At 48.8% G+C, this 16,919-nt stretch overlaps 1 long non-coding RNA gene across 4 annotated transcripts in view, besides 3 other annotated features; it reads right to left on the minus strand.

The window, feature by feature from the left end:
• The window catches only part of LOC105372284 (uncharacterized), a 40,186-nt gene that overhangs the window by 10,706 nt on the left and 12,561 nt on the right, over nucleotides 1-16,919 (minus strand). Inside the window, exon 5 of one of the 4 annotated variants that reach the window (XR_936344.3) lies at nucleotides 10,519-10,590. The exons of the other annotated variants lie outside the window; for them this stretch is intronic. This is a non-coding gene — a long non-coding RNA (uncharacterized LOC105372284). Of the gene's footprint in view, nucleotides 1-10,518; nucleotides 10,591-16,919 lie in introns of those variants that run through there. 4 annotated transcript variants of the gene reach the window in all.
• Nucleotides 6,728-6,928: a silencer, noted in NCBI's record as "peak3373 fragment used in MPRA reporter construct". NCBI's record gives its function as "represses an SCP1 promoter by STARR-seq MPRAs in K562 erythroleukemia cells {active_cell/tissue: K562}" and the evidence as "EXISTENCE:reporter gene assay evidence [ECO:0000049][PMID:32103011]".
• Nucleotides 11,167-11,467: a silencer, noted in NCBI's record as "silencer 3 fragment used in repoter construct". NCBI's record gives its function as "represses an SCP1 promoter by reporter assays in K562 erythroleukemia cells {active_cell/tissue: K562}" and the evidence as "EXISTENCE:reporter gene assay evidence [ECO:0000049][PMID:32103011]".
• Nucleotides 11,217-11,417: a silencer, noted in NCBI's record as "peak3374 fragment used in MPRA reporter construct". NCBI's record gives its function as "represses an SCP1 promoter by STARR-seq MPRAs in K562 erythroleukemia cells {active_cell/tissue: K562}" and the evidence as "EXISTENCE:reporter gene assay evidence [ECO:0000049][PMID:32103011]".

Genomic DNA, 16,919 nt, shown 5'->3' on the forward strand with positions numbered 1-16,919 from the left:
CTTGAACCTGGGAGGGCGGAGGTTGCAGTGAACCGAGATCGCACCATTGCACTCCAGCCTGGGCGACAAGAGTGAAACTCTGTCTCAAAACAAAAATAAAAATAAAAATAAAAATAAAAACCCTCCCATAGATGCTCCATACGCTCTAATTCTGTGTCTCCATCCACTGAAAGCAAAATTCCAAGGCTTTGGCTATGGTGGAGCCTCAAGATGGAAAGACCTTGGATTTCTGAAATCATGGGCCGATGATCATGAAAATGCACCTCTGGGATCTGCAAGAAGTGTGATTGAACAAGCACCCCAGCTGCTGGGCTCTGAAGTCCAGCACGTCATAGGAACTGAGGCCATGTTTCCCAAGGGCTGCTCCTCACCCGGGCCTGAGCAGAGCAGGGACACTGTGGCAAGCCAGGTCCTGAGAGACTCAGAAATCTTCTGGGACAAGCAACTTTGGCTCAATGGCCTGGCCAAAGTCTCTCAGAAATGTCCTGCAGTCTAAGATGCTTCCACCCCACCACAACTTCACATGAGCAAAATCTTCCTTCTATTGTCTCTTTTTTGTCAATTTCTGGTAAATAACTTCTATTGTCTTAAAACACACTGGAGTTAAGGGATTTAGGCGTTACAGCAGCAGTGGTTGCCTTAATTCATTAATACAGGAGGAAATTGAGGGGCCATTGCCCAAAAGGTTAAGTTCAAAACCACAACTCCAGGACTGCAATTCAGGGATCAGGAAGCTGATGCTGGCCGGCGCCTGTAATCCCAGCACTTTGGGAGGCCAAGGCAGGCAGATCACTTGAGGTCAAGGAGTTTGAGACCAGTCTGGTCAACATGGTGAAGTCCCGTCTCTACTAAAAATACAAATAACTAGCTGGGCGTGGTGGTGCATGCCTGTAATCCCATCTACTCAGGAGGCTGAGGCAGAGGTTGCAGTGAACTGAGATTGTGCCACTGCACTCCAGCCTGGGAGACAGAGCGAGACTCTGTCTCAAAAAAAAAAAAAAAAAAAAAAGAAAAAAGAAAGGCAGACAGGAAAAGGAAGCCAATAAAAGGTGTGATAATGAGCACTGTATTAGTTAGCTATTGCTGCATAACAAATTACCTCAAAACTTCAGTGACATTAAATAACACGTATCTATTATCTAATAGTTTCTGAGGGTCAGGAATCTGGGAACATCTTAGGTGGGTCCTCAGCTCTTGGGCCTGTCATAGGCTGCAATGTAAATACAAAAAAGAAATCATGAAAGTGACAAGCCCTCCTTCCCCTTGGGTAGATGACATTGGCTATATTTCTGGCTATACCACACCTTCCCATTAGCATTCAGACTTCCCTTTTTGGGGGGAATTGTCCAGCTGAAAGTTGTCTTAACACAAGGACTGTTCCCAACACTAGCCTCCCAGGGCAAGCCTGTGACACACACTTGGTCAACCCAAAGCTCATTGCTTTGGCTCCTAGGTGAGTGTCCCAGTGTCATTTGAGAATGTTTGTAGAACAGTGGCAGAGATGGCATGTAGTCAGAGCTGTTTGCCATGAGACCTTGGCTCTGAACTCTCTAGCTGGGATCCAAGGAGGAAGGTTTATCTAATACAGACATGCCAAGGATGAACCTCCTATGAACTTTTTATCCAGCGTGAATGCGCATGGAAGTTTGGCATAACACACAAGTGACCAGGAGAAGGGATGTGCTGAACTCTGCTAAAGGCTTTTCTCCCACAATATCAAGGAAGGAAACTGAACAGAGCTGGCTTTCAGGCCTAGAGACCTCCACCCTACCTGGCTCCTATCTTGGAGGAATACTGTCCCCAAGTGACGGGGAGAATTCCAAGGAACCTCTAGGTGCTAACATTGACACCTAAATTCATGGGTCTGCAGACTTCTACCATGGAATGCAATTGTCTTCACTTAGGTTCTCCCAGAAGTAGACAATGACCCAAGGACTCAATGGGCAAGTAGTTTGTTTAAGGGAGACGCCAGGAGATACCAGTAGGGGAATAGGGGTGTGACACAGAGAAGAGAGGGCAGTCCATAAAGGTGCATGATGAGCAAGTTACCTCTGTGGGCAACAGGGGTTCAGTCATGCTGGAAAATGCTGGGGACTGAGTGGAACACACACCTTAGAGTCATCCCACTTGAGGGGAGAGGGAGCTGGGGTATTTATCCACCAGCTCCCATTGGTCACTGATTAGGGGGGCTTATTAGGGAATGAAGAATGTGGCTGTTAATTCTCAGATACTTCCACTCTGCTATTCAGTCTTTGGCAGCTTTAAAGAAAGCCCTCAGGGGCCAAGCACAGTGACTCACACCTGTAATCCCAGCACTTTGAGAGACTGAGGCAGGAGGATCGCTTGAGCCCAGCAGTTTGAGACTAGTCTGGGCAACATAGCAAGACCCCATCTCTACTAAAAATGAAAAAAAAATTAGCCAGGCATAGCCCAGGCGTGGTGGCTCATGCCTATAATCCTAGCACTTTGGGAGGCCGAGGTAGGCAGATCACCTGAGGTCAGGAGTTCAAGACCAGCCTGACCACCATGGTGAAACGCCATTTCTACTAAACATACAAAAATTAGCTGGGCGTAGTGGCGTGCGCCTATAATCCCAGCTACTTGGGAGGCTGAGGCAGAAGAATCGCTTGAGCCCAGGAGGCAGAGATTGCAGTGAGCTGAGATCATGCCATTGCACTTCAGCCTGGGCAACAGAGCAAGACTCCATCTCAAAAAAAAAAAAAAATAGCCAGGCGTGGTAGCACACACCTGCAGTCTCAGCTACTCAGGAGGCTGAGGCGGATGGATAGCTTAAGCCTAGGAGCTCAAGGTTGCAGTGAGCTATGACTGTGCCACTGCACTTCGGCCTGGGTGACAGAGCAAGACCCTGTCCCAAAAAAAAGAAGAAAAGAAAGCAAGCAAGCTGTTGGGGGCCGAGTAGAGTGGCTCATACCTATAATCCCAGCACTTTGAGAGGCTGAGGTGGGAGGATCGCTTGAGCCCAGGAGGTCGAGGCTGCGATGAGCTATGATCACACCACTGTACGGAGCCTGGATGACAGAGCAAGACCCTGTCTCAAAAAAAAAAAAAAATCCCTTGGGCAAGAAGATACAAATACTGGTAGCTGGTAGTATCTTCCCAGGGTTAGGGCAATTCAACATTAGTATCAGCTACAACAATTTATAACCTTCATGGTATTCACTAGACCCCCAGAGCTCCCAGAATTTATGCCCTTCCTCCAAGCCTGTTTTTGCAGCTTCTTGTCTATTCTGTGAACATCTGCACTTGTTTCCATAAAACCCATTCCTTAAATTGAAGATCCACAGAACTCACTCCTGTTGCAAACAAAAACCTTGACTGATATACCCTGCCATCTGAAATTTGCAGTGAAATAATCTGTAAATAACTGGGCATTAACAAGGCTTTTCCAGAAGACAATTTTCAAGGTAACCATAAAGAATGTATTTATTTATTTATTATTTTATTTATTGAGACAGAGTCTTGATCTGTCACCCAGGCTGGAGTGCAGTGGTGCAATCTCAGCTCACTGTAACCTCCGCCTCCCGGGTTCAAGCGATTCTCCTACCTCAACCTCCTGAGTAGCTGGGACTACAGGCGTGCGCCACTATACCTAGTTAATTGCAGTTGGAGATCGCGCCATTGCACTCCAGGCTGAGCAACAAGAGCAAAACTCCATCTCAAAAAATAAAATAAAACATATGATTTTTGAGGGCGAGGAGCAGTGGCTCACACCTGTAATCGCAGCACTTTGGGAGGCTGAGGCACGCGTATAGCTTGAGCTCAGGAGTTCAAGATCAGCCTGGGCAACATGGCAAAACCTTGTCTCTACCAAAAAAATACAAAAAATTAGCCAGGCATTGGTGGCGCAGCACCTGTGGTCTCAGCTACTCGGGAGGCTGAGGTGGGAGGATCGCCTGAGCCCAGGAGGTGGAGGATTCAGTGAGCAAAGATCACACCACTGCACTCTGGCCTGGGTGACAGAGTGAGACTCTGCCTCAAAATAAAAATAAAAATAAAAATAAAAAATACGTTTTATTATTATTCATGTATGGTGAGGCCAACAGATCAGGATATGACTGCCATTAGAAAACACAAAAGTTTGTTATTCACTCTTCCCGAGAGGACGGGGCACTCCATGCCATACAGGGACACATGAGAAAGCACCAGGGTTGGTCAGGAGGCAGAGGTAGTGGGGAAAACATAGGCAAAGGTCTTTATTGTGATTTCCAAAGAAAGAAGCAGGCAAGGGCCGGGCATGGTGGCTCCCGCCTGTAATCCCAGCATTTTGTGAGGCCGAGGCAGGCGGATCATGAGGTCAGGAGTTCGAGATCAGCCTGGCTAACATGGTGAAACCCCATGTCTACTAAAAATACAAAAATTAGCTGGGCATGGTGGCGGGCGCATGTAGTCCCAGCTACTCAGGAGGCTGAGGCAGGAGAATTGCTTGAGCCCAGGAGGCAGAGGTTGCAGTGAGCCAAGATCGAGCCACTGCACTCCAGCCTGGGCGACAGAGGGACACTCCATCTCAATAAAATAAAATTAAAATAAAGTATACAGACGGAGGCCACGCACCATGGCTCATGCCTGCAATCCCAGCACTTTGGGAGGCCGAAGTGGGTGGATCACCTGAGGTCAGGAGTTCAAGACCAGCCTAGCCAACATGGTGAAACCCTGTATCTACTAAAAATACAAAAAAAATTAGCTGGACATGGTGGTGGGTGCCTGTAATCCCAGCTACTCAGGAGGCTGAGGCAGGAGAATCACTTGAACCCGGGAGGCAGAGGTTGCAGTGAGCCGAGATCGCACCATTGCACTCCAGCCTGGGCGACAAGAGCAAAACTCCATCTCAAAAAAAAAAAAAAAGTATATAGACGAATATGCATAATTTATATGCAAATACTATGCTGTTTTATGTCAGGGACTTGAGCATCCACAGATTTTGGTATCTGCAGGGGTCCTGAAACTAATCCTCCTTGGACACTAAGGGACAATTGTATTCCTTGAGTTATCCAATAACTACTGCTCAGCAGTTGGTAATAAAAGTTCAGAGGCTGCATAGAATCTTCGTGGCTTCTCTGATTTGACTCTGCAACACTGTTTCCTTTCATCTCCAGCAGAGCATGCCAGCTGCCCGGCAGGCATTCAAAATCCAGAATTGAAGGAAAGCATATCGTGTGATCATCTACTTCTTGGATTTGAGTCTTTCCCAGGTGTGGCCATTTCTGGATGGTGGAAGGAGATGTTCCTCCCTGGAGGTGACCCTCAGTCACATTTATCCCTCATCCTTTCCTGTATCCTAAAAATAGCCAGGATGCTGGGAGCTGTTAAGGCTGCACTGAGGTATTTTTAGCCTTAGGATCCTGGAGTTGGGGCCCAGCTGGGCTGAGCTGCAATGAAGGGGTGTCGGGGGGCAGGTGGCACCTCAGAGAGCCTTTGGAGTGGCCCAGTAATGTCTCAGTTCTGATTTCTGACTTAATCAATGGTGAAAATTGAGTTATGGGGGAAGAAGCAGAGGAAGGAGTGAAATGCAAAAATTCATTCATTCATTCAGTCAGTCAGTCAGTCAGTCAGTCAGTGTCAGGCTCTGTTCTCAGCCCTGAGACTACAAGAACGACCAAAACAAAAATCTGTGCCCTGGAAATGAACAGGCAGAGTTCAGAATATCTACTTGTATCAGAAAACAAGGAAAACGCCTTTAAAGACTAAAGGAGTGTTTTTGTCAGATGAACATGGGAACGAACTGAAAGAGGCTCTCCCTAGTCAAAATGGGGACCATAACATTCTCTTCTGTTAGTCAAAAGCCTGTGTCATAAAAACCTTGCTTACAGATGTTCAACGTAATTTCTTACAGCTCCAATCAGGGCAATTAAATAAGCAGACCGTCTAGGGGTTTCACATAACAAGAATAAATAGCTAAATGCCAGGGATGTTTGAAAAGCAAAATATGGTTCATTATTTCCCCTGGGAGAGTCGCACTGAGCCACGGATTAATCAAAATACGGAGCATAGCGCACTGAAAAGTATTCCATTACCAGGAAGCGTAATTTCTGACTTATTCTATTTTAGAATAGTAACAACTGCTAATTTCTGGGTCCTTTCTAGGTGCTAGGCATTATTTCATGGGCCCCAAGACCGTTGTCTAACTTGATTCTAGCCACAACTCAGCAAGGAGTATCCAGACCCTTTTTGTTTTTTGTTTTGTTTTGTTTTTTGAGATGGAATTTCACTCTTGTCGCCCAGGCTGGACTGCATTGGCTCATCTCGGCTCATTGCAACCTCTGCCTCCTGGGTTCAAGCAATTCTCCTGCCTCAGCCTCCCAAGCAGCTGGGATTACAAGATTACAAGCATGTGCCACCACGCCTGGCTAATTTTTTGTATTTTCAGCAGAGATGGGGTTTCACCACGTGGGCCAGGCTGGTCTCGAACTCCTGGCCTCAAGTGATCTGCCCGCCTCAGCCTCCCAAAGTGCTGGGATTACAGGCATGAGCCGCCGTGCCCGGCCAGAATATCCAGACCCTTTAAGCACATTTTAGCAAAGAAGAAAGAGGAGGAGGAAAAGAATAGAAGGAGCGGGAGGGAAAAGAATAGAAGGAGGAGGAGAGAAAAAGAGGGAAGAGGAAGTATTTTAGTAATAGTCATTTTTTTCCCTTTCAGCATGTGAATACATGTATCAGTTAGAATTCAATTCTGCTGCATAGAAGAGAAAAATAATAGTGGCTTAAACAGGGCAGAGGTATATTTTTCTGCCATGTAGGTGTACCACAGTAGTTCAGTTCATGGCTGGCAAGGCAGCTCCACAATTATCAAGGACCTTAAGGCCTTCTAACTTTCTGCTCTGTCATCCTTGGCTTCCATCCTCAAGGTTGCCTCATGACCACAAAATGGCTGCGAGAGCACCAGCCATCATATCCATGTCCCAGACAATATTAAGAGGAAAGCGGCTAGGGCTAAAGGGTACACTTCTCAACTGAGCCATCATCATTAAAGAGTTTATTAAAAGCCTCATTCAGATATTCTAGGTATCCAGGATCCTGGAATTCCCTACTTAATTGAATCCATGCCCACATTCAGGACTTGCATGGGCCTTTTCCACAGGTCTATTATCAAAGTGGAATGCTGGCCCGACACAGTGGCTCATGCTTGTAATCCCAGCACTTTGGGAGGCTGAGGCAGAAAGAGTGTTTGAGGCCATGAGTTCAAACCCAGCCTGGGCAGCACAGCGAGACCCTGTTGCTACAAAAAATAAAAATAAAAAAAAAATACTAGGTGTGGTAATTAATGTAGTCCCAGCTACTCAGGAGGACTGCGTGAGTCCAGAAGTTCAAGGCTGTAATGAGCTATGATCAGACCACTGCACTCCAGCCTGGCCAACAGAATGAAACCCTGTCTCGAAATGAGGTTTTTTACCTGGGAGGCAGAGGTTGCAGTGAGCCGAGATTGCACCACTGCACTCCACCCAGACAACAGAGCAAGACTCCGTCTCAAAAAATAAAATAAAATAAAAGGAAAAGAAAAAAGAAATTTCAGGCAGACGAGGTCGCGGCGCCGGAGGCCCCAGAAGGGTCGAAGGCGCCGCGGGCTGGGGTCGGTGGCTTAGGGAGCCCGTCCGGCCATGGTGGCCGTGGCTGGTGGTTGGCGCGGCTGCGCTGCGGCCCGGGGCAGTGCGGAGCCGGGACAGTCGCGGCGCTGACGCCCGCGGGCCCCAGCTGCAGATATGAAGCGGAGCCGCTGCCGCGACCGACCGCAGCCGCCACCGCCCGACCGCCGGGAGGATGGATTTCAGCGGGCAGCGGAGCTGTCTCAGTCTTTGCCGCCGCGCCGGCGAGCGCCGCCCGGGAGGCAGCGGCTGGAGGAGCGGACGGGCCCCGCGGGGCCTGAGGGCAAGGAGCAGCCGCCTGCCTTGGCCTCCCAAAGTGCCGAGATTGCAGCCTCTGCCCGGCTGCCACCCCGTCTGGGAAGTGAGGAGTGTCTCTGCCTGGCCGCCCATCGTCTGGGATGTGAGGAGCCCCTCTGCCTGGCTGCCCAGTCTGGAAAGTGAGGAGCGTCTCCTCCCGGCCGCCATCCCATCTAGGAAGTGAGGAGCGCCTCTTCCCAGCCGCGATCACATCTAGGAAGTGAGGAGCGTCTCTGCCCGGCCGCCCATCGTCTGAGATGTGGGGAGCGCCTCTGCCCCGCCGCCCCATCTGGGATGTGAGGAGCGCCTCTGCCCGGCCGAGACCCCGTCTGGGAGGTGAGGAGCGTCTCTGCCCGGCCGCCCCGTCTGAGAAGTGAGGAGACCCTCTGCCTGGCAACCACCCCGTCTGAGAAGTGAGGAGCCCCTCCGCCCGGCAGCTGCCCCGTCTGAGAAGTGAGGAGCCTCTCCGCCCGGCAGCCACCCCATCTGGGAAGTGAGGAGCGTCTCCGCCCGGCAGCCACCCCGTCCGGGAGGGAGGTGGGGGGGGGTCAGCCCCCCGCCCGGCCAGCCGCCCCATCCGGGAGGGAGGTGGGGGGTCAGCCCCCCCACCCGGCCAGCCGTGCCATCCGGGAGGGAGGTGGGGGGGTCAGCCCCCCGCCTGGCCAGCCGTGCCGTCCGGGAGGGAGGTGGGGGGGTCAGCCCCCCGCCCGGCCAGCCGCCCCGTCCGGGAGGTGAGGGGCGCCTCTGCCCGGCCGCCCCTACTGGGAAGTGAGGAGCCCCTCAGCCCGGCCAGCCACCCCGTCCGGGAGGGAGATGGGGGGGTCAGCCCCCCCACCCGGCCAGCCGCCCCGTCCGGGAGGGAGGTAGGGGGGTCAGCCCCCCACCTGGCCAGCCGCCCCGTCCGGGAGGGAGGTGGGGGGGTCAGCCCCCCGCCCGGCCAGCCGCCCTGTCCGGGAGGGAGGTGGGGGGGGGTCAGCCCTCCGCCCGGCCAGCCGCCCCGTCTGGGAGGTGAGGGGTGCCTCTGCCCGGCCGCCCCTACTGGGAAGTGAGGAGCCCCTCTGCCTGGCCAGCCGCCCCGTCCGGGAGGGAGGTGGGGGGGTCGGCCCCCCTGCCCGGCCAGCCGCCCCGTCCGGGAGGTGAGGGGCGCCTCTGCCCGGCCGCCCCTACTGGGAAGTGAGGAGCCCCTCTGCCCGGCCACCGCCCGGTCTGGGAGGTGTGCCCAACAGCTCATTGAGAACGGGCCAGGATGACAATGGCGGCTTTGCGGAATAGAAAGGCGGGAAAGGTGGGGAAAAGATTGAGAAATCGGATGGTTGCCGTGTCTGTGTAGAAAGAAATAGACATGGGAGACTTTTCATTTTGTTCTGCACTAAGAAAAATTCCTCTGCCTTGGGATCCTGTTGATCTGTGACCTTACCCCCAACCCTGTGCTCTCTGAAACATGTGCTGTGTCCACTCAGGGTTAAATGGATTAAGGGCGGTGCAAGATGTGCTTTGTTAAACAGATGCTTGAAGGCAGCATGCTCGTTAAGAGTCATCACCAATCCCTAATCTCAAGTAATCAGGGACACAAACACTGCGGAAGGCCGCAGGGTCCTCTGCCTAGGAAAACCAGAGACCTTTGTTCACTTGTTTATCTGCTGACCTTCCCTCCACTATTGTCCCATGACCCTGCCAAATCCCCCTCTGTGAGAAACACCCAAGAATTATCAATAAAAAAATAAATTTAAAAAAAAAAAAAAAAACAAAAACAAAAACAAACAAAAAAAAAAGCCTCATTCAATAACTTCTGCTTACAGCTCATTGGGCCACTGCTATCTGCATTAAATTAGGAAATGTAGTCTTTTAGCTGAGCACATTGTTACCCCCAATAAATATGAAGGTAGGGGTTCTGTTAAAAAGAAGAATAGAGCCAGGCACGGTGGCTCACACCTGTAATCCCAACACTTTGGGAGGCTGAGGCAGGACAATTGCTTAAGCCCAGGAGTTTTAGACCAGCCTGGGCAACATAGTAAGACCCCTTCTCTACAAAAAATAAAAACCAGCAGGGCATAGTGGTGCATACCTGTGATCCCAGCTACTCGGGAGGCTCAGGTGGGAGGATCACTGGAGCTGGGGAGATGAAAGCTGCAGTGAGCCAAGATCACGCCACTGTGCTCCAGCCTGGGTAACAGAGTGAGGCCCTGTCTCAAAAAGGAAGGAAGAAAGGAAGGAAGGAAGGAGGGAAGAAAGGGAGGGAGGGAGGGAGGGAGGGAGGGAAAGAAGAATGAAGATGAATACTGAGACTGCAATTAGCAGTCTCTGCCACAATAACCATGCTGCATTTTCCATCTGGTTTTTACTAATTGCACAGGAATTCTAGCCATGCCCCCTTGCCCTTACCTCTTCACAGTCTGCAAACCAGACTGCTTCCCAAGTGCCAAAACTGGGGTCTTTTGTTTGCTGTTGAGACCTGCTTTGCCACCTGTAGGCCACAGAATGAATGCCCCTGAGAGCAGCTCTCAACTAGTAACTGACAAAAGTTGGTGGATAAATGCCCCAGCTCTCTCACCTTCCAATGAGGGACTTCAGCCTACACCACACGGAACAGAAGAACTGCCCAGCTGAGCTCAGCCAACCATAGAGTCATGAGAAATCATCATCATTGTTCTCAGTCTCTGAGTTCTAGGACAGTTTGTTACTCAGCAATAGGTAACTGAAATGGGTGGAATGGGATAGAAATAAATCTTTGTTGCTTTAACGCCCCTAAAATTTAGCCTATCCTGACTGACTCACCCTCATTGTATTCACCCTCTGCTGAAAGCCAGGGGTTTAAATCTCTGAGCAGGACATCACCCTCAAACAAATGTGGTTTACTTGGTCTTGTGGAAGACACAGGATTTGCCAGCTATGTACGGTCAAGATCAATAGCAAGTCTAAATGGCTTTATGTAAAGGGAAACATGTTCTGTGGCTGGGTTTGGTGGCTCAAGCCTGTAATATCAACACTTTGGGAGGCCAAGGCAGGAGGATCGCTTGAACCCAGAAGTTCCAGACCAGCCTGAGTAACATGGTAAAACCCCGTCTGTACAAAAAAAAAAAAAAAAAAAAATTATTAGCCAGGGGTGTTGGTGCCCATCTGTAATCCCAATTCCTCAGGAGGCTGAGGCGGGAGGATTGCTTAAGCCCAGGAATTCAAGACTGCAGTGAGCCAGGATCGTGCCACTACATTCCAACCTAGGTGACAGAGTGAGACACTGCTCAAAGGAAAAAAAGAAAAGAAAAAGTGTTCTGCCCTTTTATTATGCTGGTGATATCCAAACATAATTATCTTGCCATATTCAAGGTCCTAAAAGGCAAGTCTCTCTCTACTTTCCAGTAGAAATAATAAGCCATGTGTTGGTGCTCACCTATATGTTCCCCTACATTTCCCAGAATCCCTTGCAGATGAGACAGACCCATATGACTCATTCTAGCCAATGGATTATCGCCACTGGGATGAGGCAGTTAAGAGCTGATACATTCCTCTGTCCTTCTCTTTCCTCCCTGAGGTGATTTTGGAAGCCTTGTGAGAGATGGTGCTGTTGCAAAATGGAGGAAGACTGGATCTCTGCATCACCGCTTGGAGGCGAGCCCCTGCTAACTAGCTTACAGGAATAAGAAACAAACTTGTGCTGTATAAAGCTACCGAAGTTTCTGATTTGTTTGTTATTGGTACTGAATATAGCCTTATGCTGTCTAGCAAGCATCATTTCTGGAAAAAGGATGAATTCTCAGGGAATCTTGCAAACATTACATGTCATTATCCCCAGCTACAATTTGCATAATTCATTTTCTGAGGGGAACTCACAGAACTTAGCAAAGAACTACCAAAGATAGGTAGGCAGCACTTTGCTGATCCCATTTGTTTGAGAAGAAAAACAATTTTGAGACAGAGTCTCACTCTTTTGCCCAGGCTGGAGTGCGATGGTGCAATCACAGCTCACTGCAGCCCCAATCTCCTGGGCTCAAGCAATCCTCCTGCTTCAGCCTCCTGAGTAGCTGGGACTACAGGCACACACCACCACACCCAGCTAATTTTTCTGTATTTTTGTAGAGACAGGGTTTCACCATGTTGCCCAGGCTGGTCTTGAACTCCTGGGCTCAAGTGATCCACTCACCTCAGCATCCCAAAATGCTGAGATTACAGGAGTGAGCCACCTTGCCTTGTGGAAAATTTATTTATTATGTGATGAATATCAAGCTTCTTTGTAAAGAGGATATAGCTAAGAGCCTCTCCTAGCAGTGATGTACATAAGTCACTCCGCCCATGTAAGACGCAGTTTCCCCATTTGGAAGGCTGGATGGAAAGGTCTCTGCAATCTATCCCCTCATCAAAAAAAATTTTTGGCCAAGCAAGGTGGCTCATGACTATAATCCCAGCACTTTGGGAGGCCAAGGCGAGAGGATCGCTTGGGGCCAGGAGTTAAAGACCAGCCTGAGTAACATAGTGAGACACCCATCTCTACAAAAAAGAATGTTTTCATTAGCCCAGTGTGGCAGCGCATGCCTGTAGTCCCAGCTACTCAGGAGTCTGAGGAAGGAAGATCCCTTGAGTGCAGGAGTTCAAGGCTGCAGTGAGCTATGATCACACCACTGCGCTCTAGCATGGGCAACAGAGTGAGACCCTCTCTTTAAAAAAAAAAAAAAAAAAAAAAAGAGCCAGGCACAGTGGCTCACGCCTGTAATCCCAGCACTTTGGGAGGCTGAGGCAGGCGGATCACCTGAGGTCAGGAGTTTGAGACCAGCCTGGCCAACATGGTGAAACCCCATCTCTACTAAAAATACAAAAATTAGCCCGGCATGGTGGCAGACACCTGTAATCCCAGCTACTTGGGAGGCTGAGGCAGGAGAATCACTTGAACCCAAGAGGCTGAGGTTGCAGTGAGCCGAGATCACGCCACTGCACTCCAGCCTGGGCGACAGAGCGAGACTCTGTCTCAAAAATAAATAAATAAATAATTCTTTTTAAAAAACACGCTAATTCTAGTTTCAGTCTGGATGATAATTTGGGGAAGAGAAGCAGAGAGGAAAATTTGGAATTAATTCCCTCCATGTGGCAACCCCTGAAGATCACAAAAAAGTTACAGTGAGAATGGGAGCAAGGATTCTAAAACTTCCCCACTCCTGGGGAACCTGCTGTCCTAAATTTAAACTTGGAAGAGATTTTGGCAACACCCTCCTGCCTCTTTCTGCCAACAAACTCACTGAAATTAACAAATGGCCTGTTTGCTTATGTTTGGTCTGTCCTTAGCGCAGAAACGGTTCTCTGCGCCCACAACTGATTATATCCAAATTTACTTCCAGTTTTTCCTCTCCTCTCCCCTGTTGGGTTGTGTCCTCAGTTTGAAAGGTCACATTCATCAAATTAGAACATGAAAGGTTGGCACACAGACATTTCGTGTGAATGCCTAAATGCCTGGAGCAGGATAAGAAGTTAAAAGAAAAAAAAAAACTTTTGCAAAAGAAAAATAATTATCATAACAGCTCAGGCACAGTCCTAGAGGTTTACATATATTAAATTTAGCAACATTGGACTTTTTTAACAGCCTGATTTTCTCTGCCGTGCATGATTTCCTTTGCCCAAACAAACCATTGCAACAAATTTGTAATGCATAGAAATGCAGCTATCGGCCGGGCACAGTGGCTCACCCCTGTATTCCCAGCACTTTGGGAGGCCGAGGCGGGCAGATCACCTGAGGTCAGGAGTTCAAGACCAGCCTGGCCAGCACAGCAAAACCCCATCTCTACTAAAAAAACAAAAAATTAGCCGGGCATGGTGGCAGACGCCTGTAATCCCAGCTACTCGGGAGGCTGAGGCAGGAGAATTGCTTGAACCGGGGAGGCGGAGGTTGCAGTGAGCGGAGATCTCGCCATTGCGCTCCAGCCTGGGTGACAAGAGCAAAAATCTATCTCATAATAATAATAATAATAATAAATTTTTAAAAAATAAAATAAAATAAAAATGCAGCTATCATCCTAAAATGTAAAATGTGAGAAGTGGTGATCGAAAATAACAAAAACAAGCCAGATGCAGTGGCTCATACCTGTAATCCTGGCACTTTGGGAGGCCGAGGTGAGAGGATCACTTGAGCTCAGGAGTTCAAGACCACCCTGGGCAGAATAGGGAGGCCTCATCTCTACAAAAAATTTAAAAATTAGCCGGGCATGATGGTGCACACCTGTGGTCCCAGCTACTTGGGAGACTGAGGTGGGAGGATCATTTGAGCCCCGGGGGGTCGAGGCTGCAGTGAGCCATGATTGTACCACTGCACTGCTGCCCAGGCAACAGAGCAAGACCCCCGCCTTTAAAAGTAAATAAATAAAAGACTTGTTTTGGAATATCAAACTTTTAGAACTTTTGGAGGATGTGACTTTGAAATATCTCAGTTTGACTTTGGGGTAGGTTTTCATTTCTTTCTTCCTTTCTGTGATATCCTATTTGGGTTCAAATTCCATTCCTCAGCCTCTAGAATTCTCTCCATCCACAGATCTTACAATCTGCATGCCCCAGTCTTCTGGATTTTGACATCAACTTCATGGAACGCACCAGTCTCCCCACCACCACCTTATCTGTGGTTTCACTTTTTGTAGCTTCAGCTACCTGCGGTTAACTGTAGTCTGAAAATATGTGAATACCGTACAATAAGATATTTTGAGAGAGACCACATTCACATAACTGTAATTATTTGCTACAATTGTTCTATTGTATTTTCAGTCATTGCTGTAATTTTCTTTTTTTTTTTTTTTTTTTTGAGACGGGGTCTCGCTCTGTCTCCCAGGCTGGAGTGCAGTGGCGCGATCTCGGCTCACTGCAAGCTCCGCCTCCCGGATTCACGCCATTCTCCTGCCTCAGCCTCCCGTGTAGCTGGGACTACAGGCGCCCGCCACCACACCCGGCTCATTTTTTTGTATTTTTTAAGTAGAGACGGGGTTTCATGGTGTTAGCCAGGATGGTCTCGATCTCCTGACTTCGTGATCCACCCGCCTCGGCCTCCCAAAGTGCTGGAATTAGAGGCGTGAGCCAGTGCACCTGGCCTGTTAATTTTCTTACAGTGCCTAATTTATAAGTTAAACTTTATCCTAGGCATGTATGCATAGGAAAGCACACAGTATATATAGGGTCTGGTACTATCTGTGGTTTCAGGCACCCACTAGGACTCTCGGAATAAATATATTGTCCCTCAGATAATGGGGAGCCGCTATAGTCCTAATACCAGGGCTTTGCTGAGGGGCTCTGTAGGTTTGGGTTTTTTGGGGTTTTTTTGTTTTTGTTTTTTTTGAGACAGAGCCTTACTCTGTCACCCAGGCTGGAGTGCAGTGGTGTGATCTCGGCTCACTGCAACCTCTGCCTTCCAGGTTCAAGCAATTCACCCACCTCAGTCTCCCAAGTAGCTGGGATTACAGGCACGTGCAACCGTGCCCAGCTAATTTTTTAATTTTTCGTAGAGTCAGAGTTTCACCATGTCGGCCAGGCTGGTCTCAAACTCCTAACTTCAAGTGATCCACCCACCTCAGCCTCCCAAAGTGCTGGGATTGCAAGCATGAGCCACCGCGACTGGTCGCCTTCAAACTCTTTAAAAGCATCAAGGTCATAGAAGATGAGGAAAGGCAGGGGAATGATCCCACGCTGAAAGAAGCTGAAGGGACCTCACAACTAAATACAACCCATGACTCTGAATTGGACCTTTATGCCCTAAAGGACAATATTGGGGCTATTGGCAAATTATGAACAAGGTCTGGGCATTAGATGGTTGTATTAGAGCAAATTTCTTCTCCTCGTTTTGACAATTGTTTAATGGTTTTGCAAAAGAATGCTCTTGGGTTTAGGAAACAAACTCTGAAGTATTGAGGGACAAACTGAAGTATTGAGGGACAAACTCGGAAGTATTGAGGGACAAAACTCTGAAGTATTGAGGGATAACAGGCATTGTGTCTTCTGCCACTAACTTTCTTCTTTTTTCTTTTTTTCTTCCTTTTTTTTTTTTTTTTTGAGATGGAGTCTCACTCTGTCACTCAGGCTGGAGTGCAGTGGCCTGATCTCAGCTTAATGCAATCTCCACCTCCTGGGTTCAAGCCATTCTCCTGCCTCAGCCTCCCGAGTAGCTGGGATTACAGGCGCACCCCACCACACCTGGCTAATTTTTGTATTTTTGGTAGAGACAGGGTTTTGCCATGTTGGCCAGGCTGGTCTCAAACTCCTGACCTCAGGTGATCCACCCGCCTCAGCCTCCCAAAGTGCTGGGATTACAGGAGTGAGCCACCACACCCGGCCTCAACGTTCAATTTCTTGAAATTGATTATTTTGTAATCATGTCAGAGAATGTTCTCATTCTTTTTTGTTTTTGAGACAGAGTTTCGTTCTGTCGCCCAGGCTAGAGTGCAATGGTGCAATCTCAGCTCACTGCAACCTCCGCCTCCCAGGTTCAAACAATTCTCCTACCTCAGCCTCCCAAGTAGCTGAGATTACAGGTACCCACCACCACGGTTGGCTAATTTTTGTATTTTTAGTAGAGATGTGGTTTCACCATGTTGGCCAGGCTGGTCTCAAACTCTTGACCCCAGGTGATCTACCTGCCTCAGCCTCCCAAAGTGCTGGGATTACAGGCGTGAGCCACCGTGCCCAGCCAGAGAATGTTCTGATTCTTAAGAGATGCACACTAAAGTATTTGAGAGTGAAGGATCAGTATATCTGCAACTAACTCTCAAAATATCTAATAATGTATGTGTATGTATATACATACATATCTGTGTGTATATCTGTAGAAAGAGACAGGCAGAAACAGATGAACCTACGTAGGAAACGTTACCGACTAAGGAGTGTAGGTGAAGGGTTTGTAGGTGTTCATTGTACTGTAATTTTTCTACAGGTTTGAACATCTTCAAAACAAAATATTGAAAAAATAAGTCACGGCCGGGCATGGTGGCTCATGCCTGTAATCCCATCACTTTGGGAGGCCGAGGCGGGTGGATCACCTGAGGTCAGGAGTTTGAGACCAGCCCGGCC

The sequence above is a fragment of the Homo sapiens genome, chromosome 19 (genome assembly GCF_000001405.40).
Source record: "Homo sapiens chromosome 19, GRCh38.p14 Primary Assembly".
Lineage (NCBI taxonomy): Eukaryota > Metazoa > Chordata > Mammalia > Primates > Hominidae > Homo > Homo sapiens.